The following is a 27,549-nucleotide window of genomic DNA, read 5'->3' on the forward strand; positions in this document are numbered from 1 at the left end:
CACTTAAGTTAGACAGCAGTTTCTGATTTGGTGATGGTTTTTTAAATTTTTGTTTCTTTCCATATATATAGGGGTTGTTTATTCATTCTGAACTTTGCTAACAGTGGGCCAACTTCTAAAACTTGGTTATGGTTCTCATAGGTGTATATTTTTAATATGCATAATTGAAGACATCTTTGTTTTTTCATGTCCATATATTTAAAATTTGAGAAATATAAATTCAAGTGAGAAGAGTTGGAAGAGGGGAGCAATATTATGGTTTAGATGACATGATCATTTCCATTTTCTTAGCTTATTAACATATTTTCCTATACCTCGCAGAATCAAGGTTTTATTTTAGTGTGACAGACAGAACCGGGATAGCAAGAAAAAGTCCAAAGTTAAAATACCACTGCAGCAGTTCCTCTGGATACTGAAAGAGTTTTCATGTTTTTGGCTCTCCACAAAGCAGATTAAAGCTTAAAACTTTCAGTGAAAACAAAAGAGACCCCAGGATTGAATTATCCCCATAGAAGGTTAAACAAAAAAACCCAAAAGCCCAAAAACTAGAATTAAACCTGGAGATTCCAAAGCAGACCCCAGTAGAAGGATTTTGTTTTCTCTGTGCAATCAATAAATGATACAGAGCTTTTTTAGGTATCTGTCGCTAGATGGCACTATATAAACACCTTCATTTTCACTTTTCACATCTTCCCTTAGTAGTCAGAAAGGAGGCAAAATATCAGGTAAGGCAATCCTTTTAGTCTTCTTGAAATTGCTGCTGTTTATTAATTTAACTAAATCTTTAATTATAAACCTAAACACCTTGTAACAGATTTGCCAATACCTTAATCCTCTATCAGCAAGTACGGTTCCATTGACAGGAGATTGGCTCGAAGGCAGCTTTGGGTTTGTTATTTGACAGATAGGAAACTGAATAATAAGAAGGCAAGAAAATTGATAGTATGTGAAAGAGAAGACAGGAAAAAGAAATACATTTATGAGAAAATGTATAATCTTGAATTTTCTTTGGTTTCCATTAAACTGCCGGTGCCTCAGAAGATTGTCAGTTTAACGTTCTATCAGTAGTACCATAATTTATTCTTTTGTTATACCATGAGGATTGAAGACGAAAAGGCCCATGCTAGCAGGAGGCACAAGAAGAGATTATATATGCAAATAATTCTGTAGCTCTTGTACCAGGAGAGGGTTTGTCTTGTAATATTTCTTTGAAGACACACATAGAAATCTTTGATTGGTCTACAAAAAGCAAAATTGTGAGGCTAAAAAGAAGAGGGAGAAAGAGAAAGAATATTTGAAAAGAGTATGCAAAGCTATGATAAAAAGTCGGAAGATGGATGACAACTGCAGCATCTTTTTTTTTTTTTTTGAGAGCTAAGAATAGTGGGGATGAGGGGGTGGGTAAGGCATGCAAAGCAATTTGGAGAAGCAAGGGTAAGTGTGTTCAAGCCTGGGGAATTGAGGACATCTGGTCATATCCAGACAAAATGTTTAATCTGTGTAACTGGCAGTGGGCAGGGGTAACCCAGCTAGCCTGCCTTCCAAGTCAGGTCGGCTGCTCCTCGACTCTGCTTCTCAGGAGTGGTGGGCTGTGTTCCATGGATCTGAGGTGCCATGTGCTGCTTTCTGCCCCCAGGAAAGAAGCAGACACCGAGGGAGAATTTTAAAGACTTCAAAGAGCCCGAGTGGACTACCACATCCCTGTAGCTGGCAGTCCTATAGCTGGCGGTCCTACTTGTCCAGTAAGGTTAGGGAGGAATGGAGAGGCGGAGGAGTTGGAATATGTGGGTAGGGGTGGGGTTGGGAATGAGTGAAGTGGAAGAGGGCTGGCTAAATGAGCTCTCCTCTTCCAGCACACATTCAGTAAACTTTCTCCCTTCCTCTGTATTTCAGCTTCCAAACATTGGCTCCTCTCTGAAAAGGTCACCCTGCTTTTCAGACAGAATTTGTGACTCTCGGCAGCTGGGAATACTTTGGAACTGAAGAGAACCTATTAGGAGAGAGAAAAAACAGAGTCATGATTAAGCAAAAAAAAAATGGAGAAAAGATTCACCTCTAAATTTTATTTAATGACAACAAAAACACACAACATTTCTCTTTGATTCATAACGTTAATAAATTCTACTTATCGTTTGCAATAATTCCAAGGTGTTCTAAAGACATCTTTATATTAGAAAAGAGTTCCATATTAGTTTGAATTACTTCAGGAAAGAAATGCCCTATTCCACCACTACAAGTTATGGGGAAATCTATAGCAGAACATTTTGTACTCTCACTAATGAAGAAAGAACCCAGTAAGGATTGCTGTATTTTGGAGATTAGGGAATTGTGTTCACACTCACAATAAAATGTTAAGCTACTACGTCAGAGAAGGCTTGGTTCATTTATTTTGACACCAGTATTTGAAATAATTTAGTTTCCTTGGTAAATGATCTGTAGACTCTTCCAAGTGTTGTTAGCTAAAATATTATTAATGTGAATTCATTCAACACACTTCATAATTTTGCTGAGAAATGAGACGTGAAAACTGCATGTTATGGTCCCAAGAGGTGAAGGAGGGGAGCAGAGAGAGAAGCAAGGATGAACAGTGTGAGTGAATTTATGGGAGTTTAGAATGAGAGACTGGGAGGCACCAGCAATAGAAAAACGAGATCATGAAATTTGAATTTTGCTATTGTAGGAGTGGAAAGATGTGATACCTTTCCTCGCTCATCATAAAGGTCACAGCCGACACTTAATACTCCTAACAAAAAGGCAGGTTAACAAAAGAAAAGCATAACATATTTTTAAAATCAAAGTTTTACATGACACAAGAGTCTTCAGAAGTGAAGACCCAAAGACCAAGGGAAAACTGCTTAGGTTCTATAAAGAATGAACAGCTGTACAGATAGGTAACTGGACAAAGGGGTATAACCCAATGGTAACAGATGAAGGTGGAAAGCTCAGCAAGGCCTGTCCAGCTTCATCTTGGCCTCACTGTGTAGTGAAACTTCCTCCCTGCCAACGGGGCAGGACCCCTTCTGAAATGAGGATCTTCAAGGAAGAAGGAGAAGAGAGACAGTAACCTTTCTAGGTGTTATGGCTTGCTTTGAGGGAGAAGGGTTCTAGTTTTTATGACTTACCTTGAAGAAGAAGAATTCTGGTTTCTATGACTCACTTCAGGGGAGAGACAAGGACAAGAGAAAGGAGGGTAGGAGACAGTCAGAGAGAGGCTTTTCTTCTGAGGCTACTTCTGAAGCCTTGCAATCTCCTTTAGTTTTATGTACTCAGCATGCCAAAGCACCATACTTTGGGGTATTGTGTTCTGAGCCCCAACACTATCAATTATCATTCAGTTTCAGCTTGAAAAATGAACTCTGTGGTGAATAAGCACACTGGAGTAGTCCCTGAAGTGTCTACATTCTGCTCAACTAAACTGTTAGCACTGTGAAGAAGGCTTTTGGAAAACAAAATTTTGATATATTGACTCTAATTAAAAAAATATATAGCCACAGTCCAACTAACTCCAAATGAGCACATTATTGCAGAGTCCCTGGGAAATATTTTGTGGAAGTAAAATTTTGAGGGAGAGGCCTGGTGCGGTAGCTCACGCCTGTAATCCTAGCACTTTGGGAGGCTGAGGCAGGTGGATCGTGAGGTCAGGCATTCGAGACCAGCCTGGCCAACATAGTGAAGCCCTGTCTCTACTAAAAATACAAAAAATTAGCTGGGTGTGGGTGTGGGCACCTGTAATCCCAGCTACTTGGGAGGTTGAGGCAGGAGAATCACTTGAATCTGGGAGGTGGAGGTTGTAGTGAGCCGAGATTGCGCCACTGCACTCCAGCCTGGGCGACAGTGCAAGACTCCGTCTCAAAAAAAAAAAAAAAAAAAAAAAAAAAAATTCAGGGAGAAAAAGTCAAGAAAGCTTGGAATGAGTCACTCTATCCCACAATTTCAACAATTCTCTCCAGAGCCCGAGGTGCCAGGTGTGTTTTTGGCTTTGCTTCTGTGCAGGAGCTCTTGCTTCTCCATCTGAGCACCTTCTTTCTCATCCTTTCTGTAATTCTCCTTTGTTCACCTACATTGTTATTCCATGAAGTCATCCCTGGATCCTCTAAGGCACCCCTGCTTCCAGGCCAGAATAATAACATCCTCTGACTCCCACTGTCCTTTATCTGAATTGCTTTCAGTTTGTTCTATAACTTACTTTATAATAATTTGTATATATAGCTTAATCTTCATTGAAATATAAGCTCCTCGCAGGCAGTGACTTTGTCAGAATTATCTTTTCAGGTAACAGACACCCAAATATATTTAAATCACTTAATCTTCATACAGCTCTAGGAGTAATGTTCCACGTGAACTGTGGGCACATTACTAGGATTTTCCCCATCACCCAATGTAATCTAGTTCACATGTGCTAAAAGCATTCACTTGATGAATGTTTCCAATGTCTTTATCCATCAGTATTTTATTAAATTTAAGCTGGGAATCATTTCTAACATGATTATACTCTTGCCCCCATGCCAGGCTGCATTAGGAGAGCCTGCTCTGTGATGACCTGAGCTGTGATGACCAATTGTCCCAGTTTGTGCAGAACTAAGGAGTTTTCCAGGATGTGGGATTTTCAGTGCTAAATTGGAGACAGTACCAGGTAAACTGGGTTGGTTGGTCACCCTAACACTGCTCCCCAGCCCCCTGAATATTCTAATATTCTTCTGTTAGAGCTCTCATAAATGCAGAGTAATCTTTGATTTTCTTGTTTGTGTCTCTCACTAGACTAAATTTCTTATCTCTCTGTATCTCTAGCATCTAGCACAGTGCCTAGTACTTAACTGGTACTCTATAAATGGTTGTGGAGTGGATAAAGAATGAAAGAATATATGCATGAAGAAGAAGTAGAAAGGCTGCAGTGAGCCATAACTGGGCCAGTACACTCCACACTCCAGCCTGGGTGACAAGATGAGGCCCTGTCTCAAAAAAAAAAAAAAGAGAAAAAAGCAACAACAATTTTTCCTCTTTATTTCCCCACAAGGACAAGAAATGTATCCTTTCTGTGTCTCAATCCTATTGTAGAGGGTTTTCAGAAAAATAGGGCAATGTGAAGAAAGCAGAGTTTCAAACTAAAGCCCAGAGGTTCATGGAAAACCTTGGCATCCTCTTCATAAGGAAGAGGCCCAAGAGACATACCATGAGCAGCCTGCTCCCTCCTCTCTTGTGCAGCTCAAATGTTTTCTCTTTTAAGAAGTCTTCTTTCACCCTCCTCCCACTCTGGACAGAGTCAGTTGCTGCCCACTCTGGGCTTCTATAGCATCTGTCTTCTCTGCTACTCTGAGGGCATCGTGAACCATCTGTACCTTATTCATTTTTGGATCACCAGAAGCTGGCATTATATCTGGTCTATAGTAGGTGCTTGTTAAATGAATAAAAGAAAATGTTGAAAGCACAGGGAAATTTATTCACAAGTGTTCCATAAGACAGAGGTAGAAATGAGAGGAGCTTCACTGAACTGAGTTGGGGAAAAAATAAAACGAGAGGCCAGGCACCTGTGACTCACATCTGTAATCCCAGCACTCTGGGAGGCAGAGGCCAGTGGATTGCTTGAACTCAGGAATTCGAGACCAGCCTGGGCAACATTGTGAAATCCCTTCTCTACCAAAAATACTAAAAATGAGCCAAGCATGGTGGCACGTGCACCTGTGGCCTCAGCTACTGGGGAGGTGAGGTAGGAGAATCTCTTGATCCCGGGACATGGAAGTTGCAGTGGGCCGAGATCAGCCACTGCACTCCAGCCTGAATGGATGGAGTGAAACCCTGTCTCAAAAAAACAAAACAAAACAAAAAAGAAAGATAAGAAATGAAAGGGGCTAAATTTAAGAAGATATTCATCACAGCAACTTAGATTGAGTAAGTGGTTTGCATTCTTTATTTCATTTAATTCTAACAACAAACCTCTAAACGTTTAGGTTTTCCCTATTTTATAAAGGAGAACATTAAAGGTCAGAGAGCTTCAATAATTGTCACAGGTCACATATTCATAAGTGGCACAGACCAAGCTAGTTTCATATTCCATTTCATTTGATTTGGTTTAAGGAGTTTTGGAAAGCTGCTCCAAGCATACATTAGAGATAGAGAAGGGATGGGCAGGAAATACTGAGGAGAATATTACTAACATTATTTTAAAAGAGGGGTGGAACGACCCACTCCCAAAATGCCCTTTGGAATATAATAAGAACACATGACTTCCTCAAAGCTCTCACTTCCTCAAGTACTATAGATTTTGAGATTTGGAGGAGGACAAGTTAATGTGCAGGGCTTGTAATTTTATATTTATGAGTAAGATGTGACTGAATATGATTATGTGATCTTTAGGGGAAAAAAAATCCAGTCTTACATCCCATCTGAAACTCAAAACCCTAGAGGAATTCCACTTATGAAAAGGAGAATCCTTAAAAGAAAGGAAAGTTTGAAAAGGATCCTAGGGCTGAAAGTCATAAATTTTAACAGAAAGTGTGTGTGTGTGTGTGTGTGTATGTGTGTGTGTGTAGGCAGGGAGGTGTTCAAGATTAGATTTAGTTATATTATATTAGATGTGCAAAAAAAAAAAAAAACTTCAAAACCTTCTTTACTTCCTATACCTGCAGTGGTGTTAGAGGAAAGTAACGAAACAAAAGAGACTTATATTTTAAAATTTTGCTAAAATACATGTAACACCTTAACCATCTTTAAGTGTATACAGTTCAATGATAGAACAACAAAGACTTTAACTTGCCAATTAAAGTAACTTCTGGATGAAACAATTGTGTTCTGATAAATATTTCATCAATTCCAGGGTCATCACTTGTATTAGTCCATTTTCACACTGCTGTGAAGATACTACCTGAGACTGGGCAATTTATGAACAAAAGAGGTTTAATTGACTCACAGTTCCATATGGCTGGGGAGGCCTTAGGAAACTCACAATCATGGCAGAAGGTGAAGGAGAAGCAAAACCTTCTTCACAAGGTGGCAGGAGAGAGAGAGGGAGAATGAGTGCAGTGGAAACTGCCACTTTGAAACCATTAGATCTTGTGAGGACTCCTTCACTATCAGGAGAACAAAATGGGGAAACCGCCCCCATGATTCAATTGCCTCCCACCAGGTCCCTCCCTCCACACTTGGGGATTACAATTCGAGATGGGATTTGGGTGGGGACACAGAGCCAAACCATATAAGCTCCATACTAGGGATGTTCCTCCCCTCTTTGTTTATCTACTCAAGATAGCATTTGTAGGGGAAAGTTCTCTCAGCAGTGCAGGCACTGAGCATTCATAAATGACTTTCTATTGGTCTTTGTGACCTGGTGGATAGTCAGAAGGGGTCTCTAGACTAGTATCCACTGAAGTGTAACTGGAAAGTCCATTTTGCCTCTCTGGCTGTTTCTACCAGCATCCTTCCTCAATGCTCCACCCTAAGACTTGCACATCCAACTTCTGACCATATTTTTCTGGAAGGGGAGAGACTTTGTTTTCTTTCTCTCTGGAAAATACTTCCTTGATATCATATCCTTCTTTTTCCTGGTAGCACTAAGCACAATGACTCAGCCTTAATTGTGGATGAGCTATCTTCTCCACATGTTGAAAGAAACTGATTTGCACTTGCCAGGTATGGCTCTTGATAAGGGAGCATTGTCATAACTTAAAAAGAGGAATTACTGTGGACCAAACAAAATATTGCTCTTATCACATATATAAATAAAACTTTGAAATTGACAACCTTAGATCAATGAATGTAAAACATCCTTACTAGATTTTATCTAAATTCAATCTTTTTGTTTTTATATTATTATACTTTAAGTTCTGGGACACATGTGCAGAATGTGCCATTTTGTTACATAGTTATACAAGTGCCATAGTGGTTGGCTGCACCCATCAACACATCACCTACTGTCCTTCCAGTAGCCCCCTACCCCCAAACAGGCCCCGGTGTGTAATGTTCCCCTTCCTGTGTCCATGTGTTCTCATTGTTCAACTCCCATTTATGAGTGAGAACATGTGGTGTTTGGTTTTCTGTTCTTGTGTTAGTTTGCTGAGAATGATGGTTTCCAGCTTCATCCATGTCCCTGCAAAGGACATGAACTCATCATTTCTTATGGCTGCATAGTATTCCATGGTGTATATGTGCCACATTTTCTTTATCCAGCCTATCATTGATGGACATTTGGGTTGGTTCCAAGTCTTTGCTATTGTGAATAGTGCTGCAATAAGCATACGTGTGCATGTGTCTTTATAGTAGAATGATTTATAATGCTTTGGGTATATACCCAGTAATGGGATTGGTGGGTCAAATGGTATTTCTAGTTCTAGATCCTTGAGGAATCGCCACACTGTCTTCAACAATGGTTGAACTAATTTACACTCCCATGAACAGTGTAAAAGCGTTCCTATTTCTCCACAGCCTCTCCAGCATCTGTTGTTTCCTGGCTTTTTTTTTTTTTTTTTGAGATGGAGTCTCGCTCTGTCACCTAGGCTGGAGTGCAGTGGCATGATCTCGGCTCACTGCAAGCTCTACCTCCCAGGTTCATGCCATTCTTCTGCCTCAGCCTCCCAAGTAGCTGGGACTACAGGCACGCCCGCCACCACACCAGGCTAATTTTTGTATTTTTAGTAGAGACGTGGTTTCACCGTGTTAGCCAGGATGGTCCTGGTCTCTTGACCTGGTGATCCGCCCACCTTGGGCTCCCAAAGTGCTGGGATTACAGGCGTGAGCCACTGTGCCCAGCCTGTTTCCTGGCTTTTTAATGGTTGCCATTCTAACTGGTGTGAGATGGTATCTCATTGTGGTTTTGATTTGCATTTCTCTAATGACCAGTGATAATGAGCATTTTTTCATGTGTTTATTGGCCACATAAATGTCTTCTTTTGAGAAGTGTCTGTTCATATCCTTTGCACACTTTTTAATGGGGTTGTTTGTTTTTTTCTTGTAAATTTGTTTAAGTTCCTTGTAAATTCTGGATATTAGCCCTTTGTCAGATAGATAGATGGCAAAAATTTCCTCCCATTCTGTAGGTTGCCTGTTCACTCTGATGATAGTTTCTTTTGTGGTGCAGAAGCTCTTTAGTATAATTAGATCCCATTTGTCAATTTTGGCTTTTGTTGCCATTGCTTTTGGTGTTTTAGACATGAAGTCTTTGCCCATGCCTATGTCCTGAATGGTATTGCCTAGGTTTTCTTCTAGGATTCTTACGGTTTTAGGTCTTACATTTAAGTCTTTAATCCATCTTGAGTTAATTTTTGAATAAGTTGTAAGGAAAGGGTCCAGTTTCAGTTTTCTGCATATGGCTAGCCACTTTTCCAATCACCTTTTATTAAATAGGGAATCCTTTCCCCATTCCTTGTTTTTGTCAGGTTTGTCAAAGATCAGATGGTTGCAGATGTGTGATGTTATTTCTGAGGCCTTTGTTCTGTTCCATTGGTTTGTATATCTGTTTTGGTACCAGTACCATGTTGTTTTGATTACTGTAGCCTTGTAGTATAGTTTGAAGTCAGGTAGCGTGATGCCTCCAGCTTTGCTCTTTTTGCTTAGGATTGTCTTGGCTATGCAGGCTCTTTTGTGGTTCCACGTGAAGTTTAAAGTAGTTTTTTTTCCAGTTGTGTGAAGAAAGTCAGTGGTAGCTTGACGGGGATAACATTGAATCTATAAATTACTTTGGGCAGTATGGCCATTTTCATGATATTGATTCTTCCTATCCATGAGCATGGAACGTTTTGCCATTTGTTTGTGTCCTCTCTTATTTCCTTGAGCAGTGGTTTATAGTTCTCCTTGAAGAGGTCCTTCACATCCCTTGTAAGTTGGATTCCTAGGTATTTTATTCTCTTAGTAGCAATTGTGAATGGGAGTTCACTCATGATCTGGCTCTCTATTATTGGTGTATAGGAATGCCTGTGATTTTTGCACATTGATTTTGTATCCTGAGACTTTGCTGAAGTTGCTTATCAGCTTAAGGAGATTTAGGGATGAGACAATGGGGTTTTCTAAATATATAATCATGTCATCCGCAAACAGAGACGATTTGACTTCCTCTTTTCCTATTTGAATACCCTTTATTTCTTTCTCTTGCCTGATTGCCCTGGCCAGAACTTCCAATACTATGTTGAATAGGAGTGGTGAGAGAGAGCATCCTTGTCTTGTGCCAGTTTTCAAAGGGAATGCTTCCAGTTTTAGTCCATTCAGTATAACATTGGCTGTGGGTTTGTCATAAATAGCTCTTATTATTTTGAGATAAGACCCGTCAGTACCTAGTTTATTGAGAGTTTTTAGCATGAAGCGGTGCTGAATTTTTTTGAAGGCCTTTTCTTCATCTATTGAGATAATCATGTGGTTATTGTCATTGGTTCTGTTTATGTGATGGATTAAGTTTATTGATTTGCGTATGTTGAACCAGCTTTGCATCCCAGGGATGAAGCTGATTTGATCGTGGCGGAGAAGCTTTTTGATGTGCTGCTGGATTTGGTTCGCCAGTATTTTATTGAGGATTTTTGCATCAATGTTCATCAGGGATATTGGCATGAAATTTTCTTTTTTTGTTGTGTCTCTGCCAGGTTTTGGTATCAGGATGATGCTGGCCTCATAAAATGAGTTAGGGAGGATTCCCTCTTTTTCTATTGATTGGAATAGTTTCAGAAGGAATGATGCAAGCTCCCCTTTGTACCTCTGGTAGAATTTGGCTGTGAATCTCTCTAGTCCTGGACTTTTTTTGGTTGTAGACTATTAATTACCACAATTTCAGATCTTGTTATTGGTCTATTCAGGGATTCAACTTCTTCCTGGTTTAGTCTTGGGAGGGTGTATGTGTCCACGAATGTATCCATTTCTTCTAGATTTTCTAGTTTATTTGCATAGAGGTGTTTATCGTATTCTCTGATCGTAGTTTGTATTTCTGTGGGATCAGTGGTGATCTCTTCTTTATCACTTTTTCTTGCATCTGTTTGATTCTTCTCTCTTTTCTTCTTTATTAGTCTTGCTAGCAGTCTATCAATTTTGTTGACGTTTCAAAAAGCCACCTCCTGGATTCATTGATTTTTTGAGGGTTTTTTGTGTCTCTATCTCCTTCAGTTCTGCTCTGATCTTAGTTATTTCTTGTCTTCTGCTAACTTTTGAATTTGTTTGCTCTTCCTTCTCTAGTTCTTTTAATTTTGTGGTTAGGATCTCAATTTTAGATCTTTTCTGCTTTGTCTTGTGGGCATTTAGTGCTATAAATTTCTCTCTACACACTGCTTTAAATGTGTCCCAGAGATCCTGGTATGTTGTGCTTTTGTTCTCATTGGTTTCAAGGAACATCTTTATTTCTGCCTTAATTTCATTATTTACCACGTAGTCATTCAGGAGCAGGTTGTTCAGTTTTCATGTAATTGTGTGGTTTTGAGTGAGTTTCTTAATCATGAGTTCTAATTTCATTGCACTGTGGTCTGAGAGACTGTTATGATTTCCGTTCTTTTGCATTTGCTGAGGAGTGTTTTACTTCCAATTTTACTTTCAATTTTAGAATAAGTGCAATGAGGTGCTGAGAAGAACACATATTCTGTTGATTTGGGGTGGAGAGTTCTGTAGATGTCTTTTAGGTCTGCTTGATCCAGAGCTGAGTTCAAGTCCTGCATATCTTTGTTAATTTTCTGTCTTGTTGATCTGTCTAATGCTGACAGTGGGGTGTTAAAGTCTCCCAATATTATTGTGTGGGAGTCTAAGTCTCTTTGTAGCTCTCTAAGGACTTGCTTTATAAATCTGGGTGCTCCTGTAATGGGTGCATATATATTTAGGATAGTTAGCTCTTCTTGATGCATCGATCCCTTACCATTATGTAATGGCCTTCTTTGTCTGTTTTGATCTTTGTTGGTTTAAAATCTATTTTATCAGAGATTAGGATTGCAACTCCTGCTTTATTTTGCTTTCCATTGCTTGGTAAATATTCCTCCATCCCTTTGTTTTGAGTCTATGTGTGTCTTTGCATAAGAGACAGGTCTCCTGAATTTAGCACACTAATGGGTCTTGACTCTTAATCCAATTTGCCAGTCTGTGTCTTTTAATTGGGGCATTTAGCCCGTTTACATTTAAGGTTAATATTGTTATGTGTGAATTTGATCCTGTGATTATGTTGCTAGCTGGTTATTTTGCCCATTAGTTGATGTAGTTTCTTCATGGTGTCGATGGTCTTTACAATTTGGTATGTTTTTACAGTGGCTGGTACCAGTCGTTCCTTTCCATGTTTAGTGCTCCCTTCAGGAGCTCCTGTAAGGCAGGTGGTGGTGACAATATCTCTCAGTATTTGCTTGTCTGTAGAGGATTTTATTTCTCCTTCACTTATGAAGCTCAGTCTGGGTTGAAAATTCTTTTCTTTAAGAATGTTGAATATTGGCCCCATTCTCTTCTGGCTTATAGGGTTTCTGCAGAGTGGTCTGCTCTTAGTCTGATGGGCTTCCGTTTGTGGGTAACCCGACCTTCCTCTCTGGCTGCCCTTAACATTTTTTCCTTCATTTCAACCTTGGTGAATCTGAGGATTATTTGTCTTGGGGTTGCTTTTCTCGAGGAGTATCTTTGTGGTGTTCTCTGTATTTCCTGAATTTGAATGTTGGCCTGTCTTGCTAGGTTGGGAAAGTTCTCCTGGATAATCACCTGAAGAGTGATTTCCAACTTAGTTCCATTCTCCCCGTCACTTTCAAGTACACCAGTCAAACGTAGATTTCGTCTTTTCACATAGTCCCATATTTCTTGGAGGCTTTGTTCGTTCCCTTTTTATTTTTTTTTCTCTAATCTTGTCTTCTTTTTTTATTTTTATTTCATTAAGTTGATCTTCAATCTCTGACATCCTTTATTCTGCTTGATCAATTCAGCTATTGATACTTGTGTATGCTTCACGAAGTTCTTGTGCTGTGTTTTTCAGCACCATCAGGTCATTTATGTTCTTCTTTAAACTGGTTATTTTAGTTAGCAATTTGTCTAACCTTTTTTCAAGTTTCTTAGCTTCCTTGCATTGGGTTAGAACATTATCCTTTAGCTGGGAGGACTTTGTTATTATCCACATTCTGAAGCCTACTTCTGTCAATTTGTCAAACCATTCTCCATCCAGTTTTATTCCCTTGCTGGCGAGGAACTGTCATCCTTTGGAGGAGAAGAGGGGTTGTGATTTTTGGAATGTTCAGCTTTTTTGTGCTGGTTTCTCCCCATCTTTGTGGTTTTATCTACCTTTAGTCTTTGATGTTCGTGACCTTCGGATGGGGTCTCTAAGTGGATGTGCTATTTTTTTCTGTTTGTTAGTTTTCCTTCTAACAATCAAGCCCGTCTGCTGCAGGTCTGCTGGAGTTTGCTGGAGGTCTACTCCAGACCCTGTTTGCCTGGGTATCACCAGCAGAGGCTGCAGAACAGCAAAGATTGCTGCCCGTTCTTTCCTCTGGAAGCTTCGTCCCAGAGGGGCACCCGTCAGATGCCAGCCAGAGCTCTCCTGTATGAGGTGTCTGTTGGCCCTTACTGGGAGGTGTCTCCCAGTCAGGATACATGGGGGTCAGGGACCCACATGAGGAGGCAGTCTGACCCTTAGCAGAGCTTGACCACTGTGCTGGGAGGTCCACTGCGGTCTTCAGAGCTGTCAGGCAGGGACGTTTAAGTCTGCTGAAGCTGCACCCACAACAGCCCCTTTCCGGAGACGCTCTGTCCCAGCGAGATGGGGGTTCCATATCTAAGTCCCTGACTTGGTCTGCTGCCTTTTTTTCAGAGATGCCCTGCCCAGAGAGGAGAAATCTGGCAGTCTGTCCACAGCAGCCTTGCTGAGCTCCAGTGGGCTCTGCTCAGTTTGAAGTTCCCAGAGGCTTTGCTTACACTGTGAGGATAAAACCGCTTACTCAAGCCTCAGCAGTGGCAGATGCCCCTCCCCCCACCAAGCTGGAGCATCCCAGGTCTATCTCAGACTGCTGCTGTGTTGTCAGCGAGAATTTCAAGCCAGTGGGTCTTATCTTGCTGGGCTCCATGGATGTGGGACCAGCTGAGCCAGGCACGGGAGGGTATCGCCTGTTCTGCCGATTGTGAAGGCCCTGGGAAAAGTGCAGTATCTGGGCCAGAGGTCACCATTCCTCCGGGTACAGTTTCTCATGGCTTCCCTTGGCTAGGGAAATGAAATCCCTGACCCCTTGTGCTTCCCGGGTGAGGTGATGCCCCACCCTGGTTCGGCTCACCCTCGGTGGGCTGGCTGTACCCACTGTCCAACCAGTTCCAATGAGATGAACTGGGTATCTCAGTTGGAAATGCAGAAATCACCTGCTTTCTGCGTCGATTTCACTGGGAGCTGCATACCGGAGCTGTTCCTATTTGGCCATTTTGGCCAACCCCTAAATTCAATCTTAAAAGAAAAAAGAGTAGGAACCCATTCTGTTTTTCAGAAAATGAACGGAAGAAAAACAATTCATTTATGTAAATATTTAATGAGTCTCCTCCATGTGCTTGCTATGCAGCTTGTTGGCTATATGTCCAAGAATTGGATTTAGGAAATGGGGGAAAACCCAAAAGTGGATAATGACTCCACCAACACACACACACAATTTGACTTTAAATAATATGTGATGCTACTACTTTTGACTTTGTTTTAATCAGAGAAGCAATGGAAGGCTATAAGTAAGCCTGTAGGTTTTGATTCAGAGCCATAGATTACATGTTCTTTGCTTCTGTAAGAAAAACTTTTGAAAGGCAAGGGAAACATTTTACCTCGCTAGTCTATAGAATAATTATGGAAGTTTTGTTCATTTCAAAAAGAATATTCAATTATATTTTGAGTCTTTGCCTTTAGAAATTTCCATGAGAGTTTTTGTTGACAATGAATTCATTATGTTCTAAGGTTTTAAAAAATTATTAGCCTTCTATATTTGATAATTACATACTGATATATACTGTATTAAGTATATTAAGAATAAAAGATTTCTTAATGTTTAATATCCACTTTTGACATTTTTGTCTTTTCTGGAATGAAATCATGTGAACTAAAGATAGCTATCAATTTAATTAAAACTGCACAATGACTGAGTTTTTAATATTGAGATTGATTGGACATTGATATCTCAGGCATAGCTGTTTAATTTTCATTCATACCAGGACAAGAAAAATTTTTATAAACAACATTTATATTTCTGGTTTTCCAGAAGTCTTTTAATATGGAAAAGGAAAAAGATCAAAATGTGATAGAAAGAACATAAGTTCTAACAGGAAGAATTCATCTGAAAAGAACTGAAAATACAAAGACATAGCTAATCCCAGCTGCACCAAACCAAATTGAATGAAACAAATGTTAACTCTAACATTGTCTTAACCTTATGCATTTTCTCCTGGTTTGCTCTGATTTATTCTGCTGCTGGTATGGTTACTATTTCATTTTTCTTTAACTTGTGTGTTTTATCCTTATTCAAGTAGAGTACCAATCAGGTAAGGAATTGGGCAGTGCAACTTTCTAAGTACTAGATGAATTTTTATGGTAGTTGCCTGTCAATTTCAAATTAATTTGTATCAAAGAGCTTTAGTTTTCCTCTACTTCCTTACATTCTCTGCCTGACCTTAGTCACTTTACAATAGACCACAGAAAAGGGGGCAAAGTCCCTCATCCTTTTCAAATCTATTTTAGGCTCATGGATCAACATATACTGAACACAAACTTTGAGAAATTACAGAGACCTTTACCTTCTTTTATATTTTTCTAAATATTGATCTTTATTTCCTTTAGTCAAGGAAGGTGTGGAATGGGCAGAAGGCAGCAAGATAAATGGTCATATGGAGTTGGGATAAAATAAAAAATAAACCCCCTGGGTGTTGTAACATGAATGGAGTGTGCATATTACAGGTAAGCGTAAATAGTGTTGGCATCTAGAATTGAGATCTTTTGGGACCTAAGATTGTGTTGTACATGCCCTAGTAAAATTGTAAAAGAAGAAATTTTAGGCAATGATAATAGCTAAGCTAAGATTCATTGAGTATTTCCATGTATCAGGCACTTTCTAACAAGTTTTACTGAATCTTCACAATCCCATCCTGAGGGAAGTACTATCATTATTCTTGTTTTACAGGTCTAAAAAAATGAGGCACAGCATGGTAAATTGTTAAAAATCACAAAACTAGTGAGGATGGTGTGGTACTTATATTCACTGCACTAATACCCCATTATACCTATAATCCACATATACCTATATATGCAGATGTGTACACACACATGTGCATCCACACACCACACATATATATGTAAGAATATTCTCAAATAATAAAACTAAATCTGATGGAGGAAATGTACTCTTGAAGGAAGTGCCTTGTTAGAAAGTGGGACAGGAAGGAAGTGGGTTTTTGTCCCTACAATCATTGAATGGCTTCTCTTTCAACAAAAAATATAGTTATCCCTTGGTATGCACAGGCAGTCGGTTCCAGGACCCTTTTGGAGACCAACATCTAAGGATGCTCAAGTCTCTTATAGGAAATGGCATAGTATTTGCATATTGCCTGTGTACATCTTCCCATATGCTTCATTATCTCTACGTTATTTATATGATAATATCTAATACAATGTAAATCTTATGAAAATGGCTGTTATTCAGTATTGTTTTTATTGTTGTGTTATTATTGTTTTATTTTTATTTATTTTTTTGAGATGGAGTCTCACACTGTCACCTGGGCTGGAGTGCAGTGGCGCGATCTTAGCTCACTGCAACCTCCGCCTCCCAGGTTCAAGCCATTCTCCTTGCCTCAGTCTCCCAAGTAGCTGGTATTACAGGTGCCCGCCACCATGCCCGGCTAATTTTTTTGTATTTTTAGTAGAGACAGAGTTTCACTATGTTGGTCAGGCTGGTCTCAAACTCCTGATTTCATGATCAGCTTGCCTCGGCCTCCCAAAGTGCTGGGATTACAGGTGTGAGCCACCGCACCTGGCCTATTTTATTTATTTATTTATTTATACTTATTTTTTTTGAGACGGAGTCTCGCTCTGTTGCTCAGGCTGGGGTGCAAAGGCACGATCTTGGCTCAGTCAACCACTGCCTCCCAGATTCAAGTGATTCTCCTGCCTCAGCCTCCAGAGTAGCTGGGGTTACAGGCACCTGCCACCATATCCAGCTAATTTTTGTATTTTTGTAGAGATGGGGTTTCACCATGTTGGCCAGGCTGGTCTTGAACTCCTGACCTCAGGTGATTTGGTCACCTTGGCCTCCCAAAGTGTTGGGATTTCAGGTGTGAGCCACCGCACCCAGCCCATATTGTCATTATTTATGTATTTATTTGTTTTTATATGTTTTCTGTCTCCAGTTGATTGAATCCAGGGATATGGAACCCACAGATAAGAACTGATTATATTAGGCCAGTGAAGTAAAATGGCTGCCTGAAAGGTAAGAAAACAAATGAGGATTCAATGAAAACAGCAAAGACAGAAATCTCCCCAGGAAAGCTGAGAACAGAGATTGGTTGTTGGTCAATTCATTTGTGCCCCATTGATATTCAACATTGACTGGATTGTATAACTTTCTTTCTTCACTAACATCAGGTTATTATTATTGGCGCTAGGTTTTTTCTTCCCATTTGTGCATGGTTTAACACATCTCCCAAAATGAGACTGTCATGCAGGGATATATTGTAAAAAAGCATTGGAAGAATGAGAAAAGTGGTAGTAGTAAGTCCACTGGATGATAGAGTAGAGAGGAAACATTATTCTGCCCAAGATAAGAAAATTATAATAGAAATAAGATGGTGATCATTAGCAAAGAATTTAAGTTCTCTCCTCCTACAAACAGCAGAGAGTTCTCATGACTCTCCAGGTTTTTCTTTGTTCAATGGCTTCCCAGAAGGTGATAAGTGAATAATAGATAACACTCAGTGAAGTTAAGCAAGGGCTTCTAGAGAGTAGAGAAGATGATTCCATAGGCTAAGAGCTAAAGGGAAAGTCTTGGTTACTTTCAAAATTCATTACATGAAGGAGAGTTCCAAAAAGTCCTAGAAACTTGAATATAAAAGTGATTGCAACATTTATGTGGCCAACAAATATACAAAAAAAAGCTCAACATCACTGATCATTAGAGAAATGCAAATCAACACCACAATGAGATACCATCTCATGCCAGTCAGAATGGCAATTATTAAAAAGTCAAGAAACAATAGATGCTGGAGGGGCTGTGGAGAAATAGGAACACTTTTACACTGTTGGTGAGAATGTAAATTAGTTCAACTATTGTGGAAGACAGTGTGGCCATTCCTCAAGGATCTAGAACCAGAAATACCATTTTACCCAGCAATCCCATTACTGGGTATATACTTAAAGGAATATAAATCATTCTACTATAAAGACACATGCACACATATGTTTACGGCACCACTGTTTACAATAGCAAAGACATGGAACCAACCAAATGCCCATCAGTGGTAGACTGGATAAAGAAAATGTGGCACATATACACCATGGAATACCATACTATGCAGCCATAAAAAGGATTGAGATCATGTCCTTTGCGGGGACATGGATGAAGCTGGAAACATCATCTTCAGAAAACTAACACAGAAACAGAAAACCAAACACCGCATGTTCTCACTCATAAGTGGAAGTTGAATAATGAGGACACATGGACACAGGGAGGGGAAAAACACACACCAGGGACAGTCAGGGGGTGGGGGGTGAGGGGAAGGAGAGCATTAGGACAAATAGCTAATGCATGAGGGGCTTAAAACCTAGATGATGGGTTGATAGGTGCAGCAAACCACCATGGTACCCGTATATGTATGTAACAAACCTTCACGTTCTGCACTTGTATCCCAGAACTTAAAATAAAATTAAAAAAAAAAAAAAGTGAATGCAAACTAAAGTCTGTCACAGCTTCTCAGCAAGACAATGTGTCAGTGATTCTGATTAAAGTGAATGGACTCTATAGACAGAGGTTGCTCAGGAATCCCTGAGATCTTGATGGAGAGCAATCTCTGTGTTTGATTGTATTTGGTGCAGGATTTTCTGTTAATTAAACCTTTTAATATAAGTCTATAGCAAGAATCCTTGTATTGGATTCAAATATTTCTTGGTTCTGAGGCAGGGGAAGAGCAAGGAGGGGATTACAGCAGTGAATAATATTACATGAAATTAATCACCACTGAGTTTTTTCTTTTTTTTTTTTTTGAGAAAAAGTTTTGCTCTTGTTGCCCAGGCTGAAGTGCAACGGCGTGATCTCGGCTAACTGCAACCTCCACCTCCCGAGTTCAAGCAATTCTCCTGCCTCTGCCTCCTGAGTAGCTGGGATTACAGGTGCCCAGCACCACACCTGGCTAATTTTTTGTATTTTTAGTAGAGACGGTGTTTCACCATGTTGGCCAGGCTGGTCTCAAACTCCTGATGTTGGGTGATCCACCTGCCTCAGCCTCCCAAAGAGCTGGGATTACAGGTGTGAACCACCGTGCCCAGCCTACTCACAGGGTATTTATAAAAGACTGATTACAGGATGATTGCATCACCCATGTTAATGATTTTCCTGTTCTTTATTAATTGTGATTCTAGCTATTGAATCAATGTGATACTTCAGCACAGGGTCTGATAGTCTTCAAAGTTGTTGCTTTTGTGTTAAATGAAGATAAACTATATCAATCTCTCTCCTGAAAATTTTTAACCTAATACAAAGTCATATTATTCAATGACTAACAGATTTTTTTTTTCCTGGTAAACTTTTTTTTTCTTTTATCCCTTTGACAGAATAGCAATGTGGTATGTTATTAGCCTGATAAATAGATATACATTCATACATATGGAGACTACTTTGCAGTTATAAACAAGTAAGTTGGGTTTCAAAAGTTCAAATTTCAATCAGCTGATTGGAACTTAGAATGATTGTATGTATACAAATATTGTTAGAATGTGGTGTTTTAAAAATATGCTCCCATGGGACACTAGTGTCCCACAAGGGGAATTCTTATAGAAAAATATAAGAGAGAGTAATGCTGTTTCTCCAATATTCAGGGTAATGTAATTCATGGATGTCATTTTCTTGGTTTTAACAGTTTTCCCCATGTAGTTTCTCCCAATAATAAAAGACCTTTTGTTGGTGGCTCACGCCTATAATCCCAGCACTTTGGGAGGCCGAGGTGGGCGGATCACGAAGTCAGGAGTTCAAGACCAGCCTGACCAACATGCTGAAACCTCGTCTTTACTAAAAACAAAAAAAATTAGCCGGGCGTGGTGGCATGTGCCTGTAATCCCAGCTACTCAGGAGGCTGAGGCAGGAGAATTGCTTGAACCCGAGAGGCGGAGGTTGCAGTGAGCAGAGATGGAGCCACTGCACTCCAGCCTGGGTGACAGAGGGAGACGCCTTCTCAAAAAAAAAAAAAAAAGACCATTTGTATTAGTCTGTTTTCAAGCTGCTGATATAGACATACCCAAGACAGGGAAGAAAAAGTTTAATTGGACTTACAGTTCCCCATGGCTGGGGAGGCCTCAGAATCATGGTAGGAGGTGAAAGGCACTTATTTGTGGCGGCAGCAAGAGAAAATGAGGAAGAAGCAAAAGTGGAAACCCCTGATGAACCCATTAGATCTCTTGAGACTTATTCATTATTACGAGAATAGCATGGGAAAGACAGACCCCCATGATTCAATCACCTCCCTCTGGGTCCCTCCCACAACACGTTGGAATTCTGAGAGATACAATTCAAGTTGAGATTTGGGTGGGGACACAGCCAACCCATATCACCATTTGAGAGCTTATTGTGAGCTAAATTCTTTACATACATCATTTCATTTGATCTTCACAAGGATCACATTTTATAGATAGAAAAACTCTAATTTTCCACTGGCTACTCAAATACTAGGTGGTAGAGCCAGTGTGATAAATTTAAAACATGTCCATAGGCCAGGTGCGATGGCTCACGCCTGTAACCCCAGCACTTTGGGAGGCTGAGGCGGGCGGGTCATGAGGTCAGGAGATCGAGATCACCCTGGCTAACATGGTGAAACCCCATCTCTACAAAAAATACAAAAAAAAAAAAATTAGCCAGGCGTGGTGGCGGGCGCTTGTAGTCCCAGCCACTCAGGAACCTGAGGCAGGAGAATGGCGTGAACCCAGGAGGCACAGCTTGCAGTGAGCCAAGATCGTGCCACTGCACTCCAGCCTGGGCAACAGAGCGAGACTCTGTCTCAAAAAAAAAAAATGTCCACAAACACTTTCACATTTCTCCTATTGACAGTCTATGTCCCTTTCCCTTAAATGTGGGCTGGCCTTAGGGACTCACTTGTAACCAATAGAATCCATTGGAAATGACACTGTGTGACTTCTGAGGCTAGGTTAGAAAAGATCAACAGCTTTCAACTGGCTCTTTTGTGATGCTTTTCTAGTAGAAACCAACTGGCATGTGAGAAATCTGACCATCCTGAAACCTTCATGCTAGAGAGGCCACATGTAGGTTCTTTGCTTTATAGCCTACTATCAACTATGAGCCATGTAAGTGAGCCATTTAAACGTCCAGCACAATTGAGTCTTCAGATGCCTGCAGCTCCATGTCTGACTTGAACTGTATGAGACACTCCAGGTGAGAACAACCTAGTTGTTTTGTTGTGGTTGCTGTTTTTGAGATGGTGTCTTGCTCTGTTGCCCAGGCTGGATTGCAGTGGCGTGATCTCAGCCCACTGTAACCTCTGCCTCCCAGGTTCAACAGATTCTCATGCCTCAGCCTCCCAAGTAGCTGGAATTACAGATGCACACCACCAGGCCTGGCTAATTTTTTTATTTTTGGTAGAGAAGGGGTTTTGCCATGTTGCCCAGGCTGATCTTGAGCACCTAGACTCAAGTGGTCCACCCGCCTTGGCATCCCAAAGTGTTTGGATTATAGGCATGAGCTGCCATGCCCTGCCCTTGTTGTTGTTTTATATCACTAATTATTGGGGCAATTAATTATGCAGTAATAATAATCAGAACAGCCAGTAATAGAACTTGGGTCTTTGGGACTCTAAATTTCATCTTAAGGTACACATTTTACTGCTTCTTTAAACTTCTGATACTGTTATTATTTTTTTAATAATAAAATCTAGTATGAGACTCAATTTAGTATACAATTATATACTTAGCTATTTAAGTTTAGTATATCCATAGTTCTTTGGGTTGTACAAAATTTTCCCTGAATTCTATTCTCTTGCCTGTTTACAAACTAGGGAATCACTATTTTACAATTAACGGTAAAGTTCTCATTCACTCAGCTAACATTCACTGAGTACCTATGATCTGTTAGGCAGTGTAAAAACTATGCACCCAAGTATGAATAAACATAAGCTTTATCACCTCGTCAATGACAGAAGGCTTAGAGAAAATGGGGAAAGATGCACATACAAACAAATAAGACAACAAAATAAGAAGAGTTCTATAACAAAGGAGAATACAAAGAGATGATGGTTAAGCAAAGTTGAAAAGTTTAATTTTGGCTGGGCGCAGTGGCTCACACCTGTAATCCCAACACTTTGAGAGGCCAAGGTGGGTGGATCACCTGAGGCCAGGAGTTCGAGGCTAGCCTGGCCAACATGGCGAAATCCTGTCTCTACTAAAAGTACAAAAAATTAGCCGGGCGTGGTGGCAGGCACCTGTAATCCCAGCTACTTGGGAGGCTGAGGCAGGAGAATTGTTTGAACCCGCGAGGCCGAGGCTGCAGTGAGCTGAGATCTCACCATTGCACTCTAGCCTGGGCAACAAGAGTGAAACTCTATCTCAAAATAATAATAATAATAAATAAATAAATAAATAAATGAAAGAAAGAAAAGTTTAATTTCTCAGGTAACTGCAGGAAGGAGGAGAGGAGAATGGAGAAGAAAAAAAAAAACTCCCTGGGTTGGTTACCCTATAGTACTAACCTCAAGTTCTTAGTCTAGAACCTTCAAGAAGGAAAAGGGTGGAGGGAAGAATCCAAAGGACAAAAGCTAAGATAGCCCTTCTGGAAAAAACAGCTCTGGAAGGATTTTGGGTTTAAGAGAATCCAGAGGTAGGCATTCAGGTGTTATTCTGCCAAGAGAGTTTCTAAGTTAAAGAATGCCTGAATTCAATCCACCAGATGCTGACTTTGGATAAAGACATTTTCATCTTTTTTCCCCCTATAAAATAATGATAATCAGCAGGGCCCGGTGGCTCATGTCTGTAATCCCAGCACTTTGGGAGGCTGGGGTGGGTGGATCACGAGGTCCAGAGTTCATGACCAGCCTGGCCAAGATGGTGAAACCCCACCTCTACTGAAAAAAAAAAAATACAAAAATTAGCCAGGTGCAGTGGCGGGTGCCTGTAACCCCAGCTACTCGGGAGGCTGAGGCAGGAGAATCGCTTGAACCCGGTGGGTGGAGGTTGCAGTAAGCCAAGATCACACCACTGCACTCCAGCCTGGGCGACAGGGTGAGACTATGTCTCAAATAATAATAATAATAATAATCATCATCATCATCATTCTTATTACTAAACAAATTTGTGTTTTCAGAGTAATGAATGAGGTAATGTCTAGAAAGATCCCTGATTTCCTTGCTAAAAAAAGCAATGCTACAGGGATAGAAGTTATCATTATTCCAGCAGTTTTGGTGTATAGTTTAAGAATGAAGAAAACATCTATCTTTATTCAAGCAGTGTGGCCTACTCAAGGGAGCTATTTTTTAACATATTGTATTTCTTGCTTGATTAGGTAGCAAGCAATGTTTCTCATAATGCTTGTCCCTTGCTCACATCACATCCTTCATTCAGCCACCCAAGAGACAGCCCTGTGTGTTTATTTAGTTAGTGAGTTGGTAATTTTGTACCCACTTTTATTTTCTTACTTTTTTTTTTTGGTTTGCCCAGTCTTCTTTTGTTTTGGAAACTGTGTTTTTGGGAACAGTTAGGGCTGTCAATCTCATGGCGCCATCAGTTCTGCTAAAGGTGAACTTACGACTCAGGTTGGCCAATAAGAGTATTGTATTTCCCTTCAAATACAGTAATTAGTCCAAGGATGGGTATGTGATCCAGGTGGTGCCAGTATTTTTCAAGGATTGATATGGATGATTGTGGAGAGAGGGTAATCTACTCATATGAGTTCCTGAACTACAAAGATTATGTAAGCCTAGTGTTGTCAGGAGTCATTTTCTCCGTGATGTAGACACAGCCAGCCTACAAAACAAAACCAACACCAAACACCCACTATAATTAACAGATGAATACATGTAGACAATGATTCTGAAACTTTCGTTTAAACCCCTAGTTCTATGTTACCAGCCTTTGGACTTTTTAAATGAGCCAATACATTTATTTATTTTTTCTTTCTGGCCTAAGCTAGTTTAAATTAGGATTCTGTCACTTCCAACCAAGAATCCTGGCTAACTAAATTAAAGCTCGTATACGAATTCATAATTTTGGAAACAACTTTCACCATCCATATATCACCTCACTACCCTCCTTCCAAACTCCCTGACATAGTCATTCAATGTATCATGGTTGCTAGGAGCAAAGGCTTGAAAGTCAGACTGAACTGGGTTCTAATATCAGCTCAGCCATGTGCAAGCTGTATGATTCTGAGCAAACCCATGACTTCTTGAAACCTGTTTTCTCTGTAAAATAAGGACATTATACTGTGGATTTTTTTTTTTTTTCTGAGACAGAGTTTCACTCTTGTTGCCCAGGCTGGAGTGCAATGGTGCGATCTTGGCTCACTGCAACCTTCGCCTTCTGGGTTCAAGCAATTCTCCAGCCTCAGCCTCCTGAGTAGCTGGGATTACAGGTGACAGCCAGCATGCCCTGCTAATTTTTGTATTTTTAGTAGAGATGGGGTTTTGCCATGTTGGCCAGGCTAGTCTCAAACTCCTGACCTCAGGTGATCTGCCCACCCCGGCCACCCAACCTGCTGGGATTACAGGCGTGAGCCACTGTGCCAGACCCTACACTGTGCATCTGCTATATTTTTAAGTGATTCGTGTAAAGTTTTCAGCTCAATTCCTAACGGATTTTAGGATCTAATTGAATGTTAGTCATTTTACCACCTCCTCTACAGGCTATCCTGGGCACAAAGAATGTAAAAGAAGGACTTGGCCAACATGTATGTCCAAGGATACTTTTATATTTAATTCCTCAAATTACATCAGAGTTAACTTTACAGAGGACAGGATTCTCCCTTTAGAAATTTCATGACATTCTGTCTTGAACATCTCAGTGTAATCAAGCACATGAAGGTCAGAGCTATATCCTCTGCTCCAAACTGCTCCCAGGAGTTAAGGTGTCACTGACTCATCTGGGGAGTTAAGTTAAATAGAAGCCTCTTTGAGAAATTCTTCCATCATTCCCTTGGCAACTGTAGACCCAACAAGGGGAAGGAGCCCCTGGCAGCAGCCAAACTGGCTGGAAATAATGAAGGGTTTATATTGCAGCACCCATTTTGTGCAAAAAAACAAACCAGAAAAAAAAGACATCCTCTCAAATTAGTATTCAGCTCTGATATGGTTTGGCTCTGTGTCCCCAAACAAATCTTTTTTTTTTTTTTTTTTTTTTTGAGACAGAGTCTCGCTTTGTTGCCCAGGCTGGAGTGCAGTGGCGCGATCTCGGCTCACCGCAAGCTCCGCCTCCCAGGTTCACGCCATTCTCCTGCCTCAGCCTCCCGAGTAGCTGGGACTACAGGTGCCTGCCACCATGCCTGGCTAATTTTTTTGTATTTTCAGTAGAGACGGGGTTTCACTGTGTTAGCCAGGATGGTCTCGATCTCCTGACCTCGTGATCCGCCCACCTCGGCCTCCCAAAGTGCTAGGATTACAGGAGTGAGCCACCACGTCAGGCTTCCCACACAAATCTTATCTTGAATTGTAATAATTCCCACGCATGGAGGGAGAGACCTGGTGAGAGGTTATTCGATCATGGAGGCAGGTTTCCCCCTTGCTGTTCTCATGATAGTGCATGAGTTCTCACGAGATCTAGTTGTTTGATAAGTTTCTGGTGCTTCCCCCTTCTCTTTCTCTCTCTCCTGATGCCTTGTGAAGAAGCTATTTGCTTCTCCTTTGCCTTCTGCCATGATTGTGAGTTTCCTGAGGTCTCCCCAGCCATGCAGAACTGTGAGTCAATTAAACTTCTTTTCTTTATAAATTATCCAGTCTCAGGTAGTATCTTTATAATAGTGTGAAAGAGACTAATAGACACATTTTCATGAATAGCTAATCTTAATGTTATCGTTCTTGTTTGTTCTGACTGATTCATATAAGATTCACATGACCCTGTTTCTACATTCTAAGTTAACAGTGAAAGTTCATCACAGTGGGTGTCAGTATTAATTAAACAATGCAACTGAAACCCAACTATTCCAGTTAAGACATCCCTAACCTCTCTAGCCATCTTGGACTATTTTATTTTATATTCCTCAAAATGACTAAAGTCCTGCCTCCATTCCCCAACATCTCACTGGCAGACTAGGTGTCTGGTAGAGGTCTATTTCCTGATTCATAGATGGCACCTTCTCCATGTGTCCTCACATGGTGGAAGGGGCTAGCTAGCTCTCTATGGTCTTTAAGAAGGGCATGATTCCTAATAGTGAGGGATATGCTCTTACAATATAATCACCTCCCAAAGGCCTTACCTCGTAATACTGTCACCTTGAGGATTAGGATTTCAGCATATGAATTTGGAAGGGGGCAGACATTTAGACCATAGCAAGTGAGGCACAAACAGATTCCAAAAGCCAGAGAAAAGATACAAGGTTGATTCTTCCTCAAGGCTTGTATTAGTCCATTCCCACACTGCTATGAATAAATACCTAGATTGGGTAATTTATAAAGGAAAGAGGTTTAATTGATTCACAGTTCTGCAAGGCTGGGAAAGCCTCAGGTAGCTTATAGTCATGGCGAAAGGGGAAGCAAACACGTCCTTCTTCACAGGGCGGCAGGAGAGACAAGTGAGAAGCAAACGGGGAAAAGCCCTTTAAAAAACCATCAGATTGCGTGAGAACTCACTCACTATCACAAGAACTGCATGGGGAAAACCACCCCCATGATTCAATTATCTCCACCTGGTCCCACCCTTCACATGTGGGGATTATTACAATTCAAGGTGAGATTTGGGTGGGCACACAGAGCCAAACCATATCAGGGCTGAATACTAATTTGTGGGGATGTCTTTGTTTTCTGGTTTGATTTTTGCACAAAATGGGTTCTTCAATATAAACCCTTCAGTATTTCCAGCCAGTTTGGCTGCACGTGGGGATCACAGTATGAGATGAGATTTGGGTGAGGACACAGAGCCAAACCATGTCAGTGTGTTTCTGAATGTAATTTTTTTTTTTTTTTTTTAAGATGGAGTCTTGCTCTTGTCGCCCAGGCTGGAGTGCAGTGATGTGATCTCGGCTCACCACAACCTCTGCCTCCCGGACTCAAGCAATTCTCCTGCCTCAGCCTCCTGGGTAGCTGGGATTACAGGTGCCCACCACCATACCCAGCTAATTTTTTTTTTTTAGTAGAGACAGAGTTTCACCATGTTGGCCAGGCTGGTCTCAAACTCCTGACCTCAGGTGATCCGCCCACCTCGGCCTCCCAAAGTGCTGGGGTTACAGACGTGAGCCACTGCTCCCAGCCGAATTTCAAATATTTAAA

At 40.7% G+C, this 27,549-nt stretch overlaps 1 long non-coding RNA gene across 1 annotated transcript, besides 4 other annotated features; it reads left to right on the top strand.

The window, feature by feature from the left end:
- The first annotated feature begins 1,114 nt into the window (after positions 1-1,114).
- Positions 1,115-2,367, top strand: LOC105377874 (uncharacterized). Its single transcript, XR_942737.3, has 3 exons — positions 1,115-1,434; positions 1,637-1,747; positions 1,894-2,367. It is a non-coding gene; the product is annotated as an uncharacterized LOC105377874 (long non-coding RNA).
- Positions 7,476-7,676: a silencer, noted in NCBI's record as "peak5923 fragment used in MPRA reporter construct". NCBI's record gives its function as "represses an SCP1 promoter by STARR-seq MPRAs in K562 erythroleukemia cells {active_cell/tissue: K562}" and the evidence as "EXISTENCE:reporter gene assay evidence [ECO:0000049][PMID:32103011]".
- Positions 11,377-11,476: an enhancer, noted in NCBI's record as "active region_24777". NCBI's record gives its function as "activates an Ori minimal core promoter by ATAC-STARR-seq in GM12878 lymphoblastoid cells {active_cell/tissue: GM12878}" and the evidence as "EXISTENCE:reporter gene assay evidence [ECO:0000049][PMID:35858748]".
- Positions 11,567-11,616: an enhancer, noted in NCBI's record as "active region_24778". NCBI's record gives its function as "activates an Ori minimal core promoter by ATAC-STARR-seq in GM12878 lymphoblastoid cells {active_cell/tissue: GM12878}" and the evidence as "EXISTENCE:reporter gene assay evidence [ECO:0000049][PMID:35858748]".
- Positions 19,104-19,295: a silencer, noted in NCBI's record as "fragment chr6:82999144-82999335 (GRCh37/hg19 assembly coordinates)". NCBI's record gives its function as "represses an EF-1alpha promoter that drives an FKBP-Casp9 reporter gene in an ReSE screen in HepG2 liver carcinoma cells {active_cell/tissue: HepG2}" and the evidence as "EXISTENCE:reporter gene assay evidence [ECO:0000049][PMID:32094911]".

This window comes from Homo sapiens, chromosome 6 (genome assembly GCF_000001405.40).
Source record: "Homo sapiens chromosome 6, GRCh38.p14 Primary Assembly".
Lineage (NCBI taxonomy): Eukaryota > Metazoa > Chordata > Mammalia > Primates > Hominidae > Homo > Homo sapiens.